General features: G+C 36.7%; 1 protein-coding gene across 6 annotated transcripts in view; it reads left to right on the forward strand.

The window, feature by feature from the left end:
- The window catches only part of RECK (reversion inducing cysteine rich protein with kazal motifs), an 87,543-nt gene that overhangs the window by 10,497 nt on the left and 63,550 nt on the right, over positions 1-13,496 (forward strand). For 4 of the 6 annotated variants that reach the window (NM_021111.3, NM_001316348.2, NM_001316346.2 and 1 more), the window contains exons 2-4: positions 4,856-4,914; positions 11,418-11,492; positions 12,710-12,746. In NM_021111.3, the coding sequence (NP_066934.1) occupies positions 4,856-4,914; positions 11,418-11,492; positions 12,710-12,746 (171 nt within the window). Of the gene's footprint in view, positions 1-4,855; positions 4,915-9,570; positions 9,605-11,417; positions 11,493-12,709; positions 12,747-13,496 lie in introns of all 6 variants that reach the window. The other 2 variants (NM_001316345.2, XM_017015207.2) reach the window with 1 other exon arrangement.

The following is a 13,496-nucleotide window of genomic DNA, read 5'->3' on the forward strand; positions in this document are numbered from 1 at the left end:
ACCAGCCTAGACAATATGGCAAAACCCCATCTCTACTAAAAATACAATTAGCCGGGCATGGTGGTGCATGCCTGTAATCCCAGCTATTAATACTTGGGAGGCTGAAGCACAAGAATCACTTGAAGGTGGAGGTTGTAGTGAGCCAAGACTGCACCACTCCACTCCAGCCTGGGTGACAGCGCAAGACTCTCAAAAAAAACAAAAACCCTTATGAGTGCTTCGGTCCTCCCTTGTGTTAGCCCTTCATAGAAAGTAACTACAGCCTTACTACAATCAAGGCACCTTTTTTTTCTTCTGAAATGTAGTGAAATTTTTATGTGTCCTTCAGAATTTTGTAAACCAAATGTTTAGAACTTCAAGACATGTTTTGACATAGAAATAGTATTAGAAAGCCAGTCTCAAAAAAAAAAAAAAAAAGGCTAGCTAACCCCACAAGTCTTTTATGAAACTGATCTATAGTAATATGGCAGTAACATCCTAGACCCTGTCGTTGTTTTATGGAAAAGTGATTTCCAGTTTAAAACTTAGAAACTTGGTTGGTAAGATCTGAAGAGGACTTCTTTTATTCATTTGTTTACTCATTCATTTCTCCTCAATACCAATCCTACTTTTCAATAAAAAAAGTTCTACTTTTATCTAATATGTATACTGAAGTTGTACAGATTTCATTTGAAGAGAGGATTATGTTGCATACACACGCACAGACACACAGGTTGAATATATATATATATATATATATATATATATATATGTAAAAACAGGTGTTTTAAACCATTGTACCAGATCTACCTGCCTGAAATGTAGTATTTTTCCCTCCTGTGTCTTTTGACTTGCCAATTCTAGACAGCTGCTGACAATGCCAACTCTATCCTCTTTTCAGTCTTCTGCGCTCTACAACAGTTACATGCCTCTGATGATTATCGCTATAGCCAATTTATGAATTCCTCTGGAGCCATAATGCTGCTTGGCAACCTTTTTCCTTTTCTCTAATTTGACATTTCTTTCTCTAAGTTGATGAAGCAGTGTTGTTTTGAACACAGGTTTGAGAAACATATTTATAGTTGTTTCCTTTCTCTATTTTCCAAAGTGGCTGTTTCAGGCCTCTATAATTTCAACTCAAGCCCCCAACCCTATCTCAGCCCTATCTATTTTCAGATCTAATCACTATTTCACTGAGAAAATGAGGTGCTGTCAATTTCCCTGTTAATTTATCGGTGTCCTTGAATTCTTTACTCTTGTCTAGATTTTGTCCTACTACCAGGTGGTAACCTGGGTGAAGTTAGAGAGCATAACTTTTGTTCACTATTGTATCCCTATTCCTAAACACAGTGCCTCTTTTAAAACCCACATGCCCTTCCAGGAACCACCTCATTTCTCTATATTCTGTTTTACTTCCAACTGGATATAATGTAATTCAGTTCTGCCACCCAGAATCAGCATCTACCCCGCAAGTTAAAGGGCATGGTCCCCAACAAGATTGCCCTTAATCCAGACACTAGCTTTAGTTCAAGGGTCCCCAGGCCACCCACACTTTTGACCAACTGGCTATAAATCCACGGTTCCCATGACCCCCTCAGGTTCAATAATTTGCTAGACCAACTCACAGAACTCTGGGAAGCACTATACTTTAAATAATGGTTTTAATATAAGGGGTACAATTCAGGAGGACCAGTCAAATAAAGAGCCTCATAGGGTGAGATCTAGGAGGGAATGCAGAGCTTCTATGTCCTCTTATGGAATCAGGTGCATCATCTTCCCAGTACATCAATGTGTTCAACCAGGAAAGCTCCACTGAGCTTCTATGTCCAGAGTATTGATTGGGGTTTCATTACATAGGCATACTTGATTGAATTATTGGTCATATGGTTGAGATCAATCTGCAATCCCCCTTCAATCCCTGGAAGTTGGGAGATCAGGTTGATACCATGTGGCTAAAAGCCCCAGCTCTTTAAACACATGGCTGTTCTTTCTGGTGTTGCCAGCCTCCATCCTGAAACTATCTAGGTCAGGGGTGTCTAATCTTTTGGCTTCCCTGGGCCACACTGGAAGAATTGTCTTATGCCACATGTAAAATACACTAACACTAATGCAAAAAAAAAAAAATCTCGTAATGTTTTAAGAAAGTTTACCAACTTGTGTTGAACCACATTCAAAGCTGGGCCTGGGCCACATGCAGCCCATGGGCCACCGTTTGGGCAAGCTTGATAGGTGAGACCATGGGTCACCTTGTTAGCATAACAAAGACACTCCTATTACTCGGGAAATTCCGGTGATTTAGAGTCTCCCTCCCAGGAACCAGGGAGAAAGGCCAGTCAAATTATTTATTATACAGTGTTCTACAACTGCTCAAAAGTAGACTTCCTCAAAAGAATTGTCTGTATTTTCTTGAATTGTCTCTTGAACTCACTGCAGTCAGGCTTTTGCCCTTTATTTCACATTGATAACATTTATTTAAGGTCATCATCAATATCTTCCACATTGCCAAGTACTGTGATCAGTTTGAAATCCTTATTACTTGATAGCAGTATCTAACATGGTTAACATCTTCTTGAAACATTTTATTTGGCTTTTTGGACACCATTCTTTCTCTTAATTATCTTCCCATACATTGACCGTTCTCACCTGTCTCTGAAGGAGGGAATGCATTGCTCAGTTCTCAGATCTTGTCCTTCCCCAGATGCCATCATGGCTTTAAATATCATCTACATAGTGTGTCTCCCAAATTCCCATCTCCAGTTTGGAGTCTTCCCGAACTCATATATTCAACTCCCTACTCAGTATATTATTTTAGATATATAATAGGCATCTCAAAATTATATCTAAAACTGAATTTCTGATCATCTCTCTCTCTCTGAGATCTCCTCCCTTAGTCTTTTCCATTTCAGTTAATGGTATTTCTAGATATTTCTGTTTTCCCACTTTCTTGGACCAAAAACCTTACAGTCATTCTTAATTCTTTTTCTTCCATATTTCACTTCCAATCCATTAGCATATCCTGTCAGCTTTATATTCATAATATATCCAGATTCGGACTACTTAATACCATCTCCACTGCTGCCACCCTAGTTGAAGACACTACAGTCTCTTATCAAGACTACTTCAATAGCCTATTAGTGTTTCCTCCCTTACTCCTGTGTATTATATTTTTAACACAGGAACCAGAGTGGTCTTTTTAAAATGTTATTCTGATTATGACATGCTGCTCAAAACCCGTGGGTGGTTTTCCATCCTTCTCAGAGTAAAAGCCAAAGTTCTTACCATGGCCTATAGAGACCTGTATGATCTGGTCCCCCTCTCTGATCGCATTATGTCCTACTCTACCCTTCAGTCATTCTTTTCTAGCCACACTCTTTGCTCTTCTTTGAACACACCAGAAACTTTGCACTTGCTGTTTCTGCCTTTTGGAAAATTCATTGTGGCTCGTTCCCTTACTTTATGGTATCTGCTTGAGTGACACCTTTTCAGTGAAGCCTTCCTAGCCTGCCCTATAAAATACCCACTCACTTCCACACACACATCCTCCTTACTCTTTAACTTGTTTTATTATTGCCATAACATTTACCACCATTTCACATTCGTATTCTCTCTCTCTGTCTCCATATATATATATGTATGTGTATATATACATATATAGTTTAATATCTGCTCTTTAAGTTTCAAGAGAACAGACTTATGTTTTTTTGAATGAATGATCAGTGCCTAGTACTTAAGCTGCTCATAAAATTTTTTTAAGTTGATAAATATCTTGGAAGAAGAAGTATTCCCTGTTTCTTTCCAGGGATAGTGCCTTCTCATAAACACTTGGTTTTATCCCCTTTGGAGTCCTCTTGAGACTTGTTCTGTCAGAGGAACATTAGCTCTCTACTGCTCTTTTCTGTCTGTAAAGAAGGTCAAGTCTTTTCCACTCTGAAAAAGGGAGAAAAAATCTTGGAACCTTGCATCTTTGTATAATTACTACTTTGTTTCCTTCCCATCGTTGCTAGACTTCTTATGACTCTATTTTTGATGTCTGTACTTACTCACCTGTGGTTTACTCCTTAATATCATTCACTTCTACCAGTTCCACAGAAAGAACCTGTGAAGCTCACCAAGTGGCTAATTAGTAAACCCATTTCCTTTTTTCATTCTTCAGTCTAACTTGACTCTTGTGGTGCATGACACTACTCCTCCTGTGATGCCACTCTCACGGTTAACCTGCCTTTCTGACTATTCCATCTCAGTCTCTTTCCTTTCTTTCCATATCTCAGATGTTACTCTTCTTTAGAATCTGATGCTATGTTCTCTTCTCACTAGAAACTCTCCCTAGACAATATCATTCATTTCCATATACTCCTTTATGCTGATGAGTTCCAAATTTGGATCTTTAGGCTTGGCTTTACCTGCACTCCAGGCCTGAATTTCTGAGTTTACTGGAATTTCCATCAGGATATTCTATAGGAACCTCAGATTCACATGCTCAAAACAAAATTCACTATCTTTTTATCAGTTGACTTTTTATTATTGGTTTAAAAATAGCTCTAGTCCATATGGTAATTGTAAGGATTAGATAAGAAAATGCATACAACAAACTTAGTCAAATTCTGGGACATAGAAAGCACACACTAAATAGTAGCTATTATTATTACATGACAGTCTCCCCTATTAGACTGCAAGCTTCTTGAGGACAGGGACCATGTCCTCAAACCTAACACTGTCCTTGACTTGTAATAGGTGCTCAGTAAAGGTTTGTTGAGTTAAAATTAATAATAATAATAATCATCATCTACTGAATAAATGGTTTGTGTAACCATCTGAATTAGCTTAGTCATCTTGTTTAACAGTGGAACAACATTTGATGTTTATTTTTTCTCCCTAGGTGCATTGTGTTGTAATCATTCAAAGGATAACCAAATGTGCCGTGATGTATGTGAACAGGTAAGATTACATAATAATTACAGAGGCAGCCAGACACAGTGGTTCATGCCTGTAATCCCAGCACTTTGGGAGGCCAGGGTGGGAGGATTGCTTAAGGCCAGGGGTTCAGGACCAGCCAGGACAACATAGCAAGACCCCTGTCTCTAAAAAATAAAAATAAAATTATAGAGGCTACTAGTTATACAACTATTTATTAAGTATAATTGTTTTTGGAGAAGTCTGTTGGATAGTACCTTAACTAATTGTCCAGGGTTCACATCACCAATAATGGGGCAAAGTGACTGTCTGCTGACATGATACACTGAGAAGGAAAATATTATAATTGCATAATTTGAATTATGAAGAAGTAGTCGGGCAAACCCAGTTTGAGGAATATTCCTCAAAACATCAGCGCCTGTACTCTTTAAAAATGTCAGTGTTATAAAAACAAAGAAAGGCTAAGAAACTGTTACAGATTAAAGGAAACTAAAGAGATGTGACAACAAAATGCAATTTGTGATCCTGGATTGGATCCTGGAATGAAAGAAAATTGCTATAAAGGACATTATCAGGATAAATTGGTAAAATTTGAATATAGACTGGATATTAAATAGTAGTATTATACCAATACTGTGATCCTGAATTTGGTGATTATATTGTGGTTGGGTGTGATGGTGTCCTTGTTCTTAGGAGATACATACTAGGATTTAGGAATGAATGAACATAATGTCTATAACAAATGCTAACATAGTCCTTCAAAATAATAGTATGTAATAATAGTTTGTGTATATATACAGAGAATTAAAGCAAATGTTGCAAAGTGTTTAGGATGGGTGCATCTTGATGAAGACCATGTAGGTATTCACTGTGCTATTCTTAAAAGTTGTCTGTAGGTTTGAATTTTTCTGGTTGAACCTGTTTATGAAAGTTCCACTGAAGCACTACCCATTCATAAAGCCCTACCTTTCTTTCAGGCTTGGTCATGTATGTCTAGCCTTAGCACTCGAGAAACAATAGTCTCAATCATCTTTTAGAGGAGTCTTCAAGTAATAACCTGGATCTTGTTATTTTTAAAACTGAGAGAACTACTTAACTGGGACTATAACTTCTCATAAGCAATAATAATGTAGACGTAGAAAGATTTTGCAAGATACGGTCTGATTATAAGACATGACACTGATTCAGCTCATCTAAATGGCTACCGGAGAATTCAGTGACATGTCAAATCACTATTGCAAATTAAGTTTGCTGCACATTTACTGCCAGAAGAATAGCTTTTTAAAGCAAAAATGGCCCCTTGATGATATCATAAGGAAGCTTTTAAAGTAGTTCTGCTACTTTGGGAAACATGACTTACCTGACTTTTCACTTTGTTTCTTGCTTTTTCTACTGATGTTCTATAGGGTGAATGATTTTTAGGAGGTATCTTGTAATGAGGCACCAGCAGCAGGCAAGGTCTAATTTCTTAAAATCTGGAATGCTAGAAATTATATAACTTAGCAAATTAATTGAATACTATAGTCACCCTAATAAAGAACATTCTTCCCCAACCAAGTTCTTAACTAATTGAGAAATAAGGCAGATAGGTCCAAAAATATTACTCCTATTACTGGTTACACAGATGTCGAATGTGACTTTTATCTCTAGGCACACACTAAGTGACAGAATTAGACTTACTCCCAGAGGAGGAGAGGTAAGGGCTGTGTTACATATGTTTACTTTCCCCTACTAAACTCAATGGTCGGCTAAGTCGCCATCCTGATCATGGGAGAAGTGTATCAGGGGTGTGGAGAGAGACCAGGGCTGTTAAAACTCGTAGAGCTCACTTCAAAGAGAAGGAAATGCTGTGAGTGAGGAATCATTATTTCTTCAACCAGTAGGGAATGCAGACAGGATGGAGTCTTGATGACATTTAGATTTTGAACTGAGTAAACAGCATTCTTGATGACTCTAGGAGGTTAGGGAAAAGATATGGTTTGAGGAGAAGGTGAGCTGTTGAATTATCAGTGAAAACCACTATGTGAAGATAGGGATTTGGAATTAAAACTTTTGGAATTAGAATTTAGATAAGAAGTCAGGGCTGGTAGCTTATCATATTCAGCAAAATATGTGTGATGGTTTACAGTGAAACTGTCAGCAGTGTCAGATGCCAAAGAAAAGTCAAGGAGTTTGAGATCTGAGAAAAGGCCCTTAGTTTAAAAAAAAAAAAAAAAAAAGCCAATTAGTGGAGATTTTAAAAACATCTCCCTGCAGCAGGGATTTTTGTTTGCTTTGTTTATGATGAATTCCGTGGTGCCTAGAACAGTTAAAACAGTATCTAACACTCAAAACTCTCAATAAATATTTGTAGATCAACTGGAGCAAGGGAGCTAAAAGTCACACTGCAGGCATTAAAAATTTTTTAATAAAAATATTTACAGTTATGTAATTTTTTGGACTTACAAAAATGTATTCAGTTTTTGTATATGTCTTACCTGTATATATTATGAATTCCTTGAATATAGGGATTGTGTCTCATTTGCCTATGTTGTATTCATGTCCCTGCTCATGCAAACTAATTAGTTAATATTTTTGAGTTGATTGGTGAAGAAATGGGTACAATGAAAGGAAAAAGCTGGAAAAGTTAGTAAGTGCAGGAAGTAAAGATTAGTTTCAAGATGGAAGGTTTTTACTTGTTTAAAGACAAAGGAAAAATGAGTTATAACAGAGGAAGGAGATAAGTATGGGTAAAAAACTTCTCAGAATTCAAGACTGTAAACCCTATGGTCTGATAATTTCTGCCTTGAGTGGCATACAAGTTTGGTTATTAAATTTTTTGCTCTGAGATGATTTGTATAATTATAGTATATATTCTAGTATGTATTCTGAATAAGCATTCATCTTTCTTTTTAAGTGTGATTACTAGTTGTTTAGCAAGAAAAGTGACTTTATATTCAAGTCTACCTTATTATCTGAAAGTTTACATAGTACCTGCTGGTTTATTTAAGCTAAATGTATTTCTAATAAGTATGTGTTTATCAGTTTAATTCATTCTACTTTATGGGATCATAATTTTAGAGACAGAAGGGACCCAATAGATTATCTAACTTTTTAATTTTGCTTATTAGCTATTCAGGAAACCAGAAACTGGGACCTAAATTTTATTTTACACTTTTCCCTAAGTGCCATGCCCTTTACTATACCCCTTTACATGCATTATTTCATTTAATTCTTACACCCAGCCCTTGAAAAAGGTATTGTCATTATTTGTATATTATAGGTAAAGAAATTGAAATATAGAAGACTTAAATAACTTACCAAGGTCCCAAGCCAATTAGTTGAGGAACAGGGACTCAAACTCAAATGTGTCTGATTACGAAGTCCATACCCTTAGCCACCAGGATATAACTACCTCCTATGAGGCCAAGTAGTTTGCCCAGTGGTATTCAGAGTGTATTTCCAACTCTCAGTTCTATATTCTTTCCATTGTTCTAACCTGTTTCAAGTACTTGTAGGTTTTTTGCCTTTTTTGTTTGTTTTTGTTGTTGTTGAGGGGAGATGGAATTGCAGGAAGAAGAAATGAGTGAGAGAGCATAGCCTTCCCTGTGCTTTTTCCTAGTCTGCTACCAATGTCATATCTTTCGTTTTTTCTTCCTCTTTCTCTTTTCCATTCTTTCTTATCTTTCATTATTGTCTTTTTCAATCGATTTTTCTTTTCTTTCACTCTTCCTTTTGTCTTTTTATAATAGAAAATTTTAAGTATATACAAAGGTAGAGAGAAAAGTGTAATAAACCCCCATATTCAGCTTCAATATTATTAAGTCATGACCAGTTGTGTTTCATTTAAATCTCCTTTTACTTTCCCCACTATACTGAGGCAAATTTATGTAGCAGCAAAATCTCAATTGTCATATTATTTGATCCATAGCTTCAGTTTGGAGCTACAAATGATATGTCATTTAAAAAAAAAATAACCACAATACTGTTATTACTTCTTTGAAAATGTAATATTCAAAAATCTAGTTATTCAGATTTCTTAATTATTTAAAAGGTTTTTTTAGTTTGGATCAGAATTCAAGTGATATATATGTATTGCAGTTGGTTATATGTTTTTTAAATATCTTTTGATCTGTAGGTTTCTCCTTGCAATTTATTTGATGAATTAATTTGATCATTTGTCCTATAGAGTTTCCCATAGTCCAAACTTTGCTATTCACATCCCCCTGGTGTCGTTTAACATTTTCCTTTTTCCTCTGTGTTTCTTAGTAATTGGCAGTTAGATTTAGAGCAGAGCTATCCAATGACACTTTCTACAATGATGAAAATATTCTAGACCTATATGGTAGCCACTAGCCACATGTGCCAGGTGAACACTTGAAATGTGCTTAAAGAGACTGAGGAACTTTAATTTTTAATTTTATTTAATTTTACTTGATTTAAGTTTAAATACCCACACATGGCTAACAGCTACCTTAGCCAGATCCAGAGACTTAGTTTTGTTTAAGTCTTCCCCCAAAAATGTCTCTTTTTGTGATGTTAACAGTCATTGTGATAATTGTCTAAATGCATTAATTCACTAGGCGTTGCAAAATAGTGATATTCTATCTCTTTTCACTTCTTAATTGTAGTTGGTAGTTTTGGAGGAAAATGGCTAATAAATAAGCTAACTGGAGATAAATCCTTTTTCACTGTCCATAGCATTCATGGATTTTACCGTCTCAGCTATTTGCAGGTAATCATGAAGGTCTGTCTGATATGTGTAATGATTTATTATTTACTGAAACACCAAATTGTAATTGCATAACGTCCTATTTGGAAGTGAGCCATTTGGCTTGGTGAGTGAACCTTTGTCAGCTCATCAGCATCAATTAAAAAAAAAAAAAAAAGCTTTGTTTCTATCTTACAGCATTTTATGGAGAATTTATGTGCCATAATGCTGTTTATGAATTTGATCTTCACCAGTATCACGGGTTTGATGACAGTCTATTTTTCATTGTTACCAGTTGACTAAAAGTAATTAAGAACAGTTTAGAATAAACTTATCTTTTTTTTCTTCCTTCTCTCGCTCTCTAACCCCCAGCCTCTAAACAGGTTGGTAGCCTGGGTTTCTCCACTTTTTTTGGTCAATAGAAAAGGGTCTAGACTTGCTGTATTTGGACTTTTCTTGCTTATTTGCGAAACTAATCAATGCTTTTTAAGAAATGTTACCTCAGCTTAACTTAGATCATTCTGAAGGTTTTCCACTTATAAAAGGAGCCAGGCACGGAGGCTCATGCGTGTGGTCCCAGCACTTTGGGAGGCTGAGGCGGGCGGATCGCTTTGAGCTTAGGAGTTCAAGACCAGCCATGGCAACATGGTGAAACCCTGTCTCTACAAAAAAATACAGAAATTAGCCTGGCATTTGTGGCTCATGCCCAAGGTCCCAGCTACTTGGGATGCTGAGGCTGGAGAATTGCTTCAGCCTGGGAAGTGGAGGTTACAGTGAGCTGAGATCACACCACTACACCCCAGCCTGGGTGATAGAATGGGACTCTGTCTTAAAAAAATAAATAAAATAAAAGAACATGAACAGACACTTCTCAAAAGAAGACATTTATGCAGCCAAAAAACACATGAAAAAATGCTCACCATCACTGGCCATCAGAGAAATGCAAATCAAAACCACAATGAGATACCATTTCACACCAGTTAGAATGGCAATCATTAAAAAGTCAGGAAACAACAGGTGCTGGAGAGGATGTGGAGAAATAGGAACACTTTTACACTGTTGGTGGGACTGTAAACTAGTTCAACCATTGTGGAAGTCAGTGTGGCGATTCCTCAGGGATCTAGAACTAGAAATACCATTTGACCCAGCCATCCCATTACTGGGTATATACCCAAAGGACTATAAATCATGCTGCTATAAAGATACATGCACACTATGTTTTTTGCGGCATTATTCACAATAGCAAAGACTTGGAACCAACCCAGATGTCCAACAATGACAGACTGGATTAAGAAAATGTGGCACATATACACCATGGAATACTATGCAGCCATAAAAAATGATGAGTTCATGTCCTTTGTAGGGACATGGATGAAATTGGAAATCATCATTCTCAGTAAACTATCGCAAGAACAAAAAACCAAACACCGCATATTCTCACTCATAGGTGGGAATTGAACAATGAGAACACATGGACACAGGAAGGGGAACATCACACTCTGGGGACTGTTGTGGGGTGGGGGGAGGGGGGAGGGATAGCACTGGGAGATATACCTAATGCTAGATGACGAGTTAGTGGGTGCAGCGCACCAGCATGGCACATGTATACATATGTAACTAACCTGCACATTGTGCACATGTACCCTAAAACTTAAAGTATAATAATAATTAATAAATAAATAAATAAATAAATAAAAATTTAAAAATAAATAAATAAAATAAAAAGGAAGTTGGAAAATATTCTAGACAACTGATAAATCTAGAGGATAATAAGTTTTACCTCTTCTTATTTCTTATAGAAAAATGCCACAAAAACTTTTTTTTTTTTGTCAAATAGATTTTCTCCTCAAAAAGTGAATCCCGACTAAAACATCTGTTGCAGCGAGCCCCAGATTATTGCCCAGAGACAATGGTAAGTCTTATTGTAACTTAACTGTAGAAGCTTCTGTCTAAATGAAACTATCCAATGAATTACTTTCAGAGTTAGCAAATTTTTAAATGTGATTGGAATTTGTGGTCAAAATAAAATGTTAAGTTTAACTTAAATACTTAAAAAAAATCTTCATATAAATTGCTAGATAGAATATTGTTTTTCTTCTTTTATTATCCTATGATATAAATCTAAAAACAATCTTAAATATAAATGTGTTCCTATCTTTAAATTTCATTATAGTATTTTATCTGGGGTCGGGCGTGGTGGCTGATGCCTGTAATCCCAGCACTTTGGGAGTCTGAGGCGGGTGGATTACCTGAGGTCAGGATTTCGAGACCAGCCTGGCCAGCATAGTGAAACCCGTCTCTACTAAAAATACAAAAATTAGCCAGACATGGTGGCACACGCCTGTAGTCCCAGCTACTCCAGAGGCTGAGGCAGGAGAATTGCTTGAACCCAGGAGGCGGAGGTTGCAGTGAGCTGAGATAGCATCACTGCACTCCAGTCTGGGCAGCAGAGTAAGACTCCGTCTCAAAAAAAAAAAAAAAATTATCTGGAACTTAGAATTTTATTTATTATTATAGTTTGACTAATTTTATGAAAACTATAATAACTAAATCTGTTTATTTTGATTTTGGAAAATTGAATTTGGGATAAGGGAAAATATATGACTTATTATCTTCCAATTTTCTGACATACTGTAGATATATTGCTTACCTATCTGAATCATGTAACTTTAAGACCTTTTAAAGGTCTCTAATACTTGGGCTGTCCTCAGTGTTTGGGATGCTCATGTGCCAGACCAAGAAAGTGTGAGTTTGTTTGCAAGAGCCTCTTTAGATATGGTGGCTTATATTATGTGAAGGGGAAAATAAGTTGATGATTAAATAGTTCTGACTGACACATTCCCTTTAGTCTTCAGTTTTGTCTATAGGCTTGGAAACAGTGATTCCAGTAAGTATCCTGAGTAACTAGACTCATCGTTAATGCTCTCAGATGGGAAAAGAACAAGGAATATTTCTGTATCTCAGCTTTGTTCCCCCCGAATAGCTGATTGATGTGCCTGTAGTTCTAGAACATTGACTGTGTAGACATAGCCATAATCAAATTAGCTGTTCATAATTTCTGTAGAAATTAATTGTCATATTTAGGAACTGGTTATCTACATAAAAGCCTTTTGTTGGGTACACTTTTAGGTTGAAATTTGGAATTGTATGAATTCATCTTTGCCAGGTAAGCAATAAAAGTGTAACATTTAGCACTTAATTTTAAAAACTTACTGTGTGAATGTAAAATTGGTGTCATTGTCCTGGAACCTAATTTATACTCTGGAGTTTCTATCCTCTCCTTCCCTTCAACACCTAAATTTTTTTTTTCTAAGACACAGTCTTACTGTGTTGCCCAGGCTGGTCTTGAACTCCTGGCCTCAAGTGATCATCCTGCCTTGGCCTCCCAAAATGCTGAGATTACAGGCATGACCCACCATGTCCAGCCCAAATTTTCAAATACATAATTTATTCTCATTCACTCAGTCCTTAACTTTGTTCTCTTGTCTCCACTTCTGCCATTCTACTGAAACTAGTCTTTGAAAGATTACCAGGATCTCTTGGTTCCTAGATCTTCGGGCTCTTTCTCAGTACTACTCTCTTTGACTTTCTTGAAACACTTGATATTATTGATTACTACCTCCTTATGACTCCACCTTGGCCTCAGAACCTATTCTGCCTTGCCTTTTTTTTTTGCAGATGGAGCCGTAAGGACTATGGTTATTTCTGTGTGTGGTCTTCTTCCCTTCTGTCTTCACATTCACCTTAGTAATCTCATTCCTTCCCAGAACTGTTAACTAATCAGCTCTGAGAAGGTGACTCTCAAATCTAAATCATTGTTTGTAACTTCTAGATATCTTTGTAGACATCTCTACCTGGATCTCTGCATCCAGGTGCCATCTGAAGCACAAATCCAAAATCAAACTCATAACTGCAC

This window comes from Homo sapiens, chromosome 9 (genome assembly GCF_000001405.40).
Source record: "Homo sapiens chromosome 9, GRCh38.p14 Primary Assembly".
NCBI classification, from domain to species: Eukaryota; Metazoa; Chordata; class Mammalia; order Primates; family Hominidae; genus Homo; species Homo sapiens.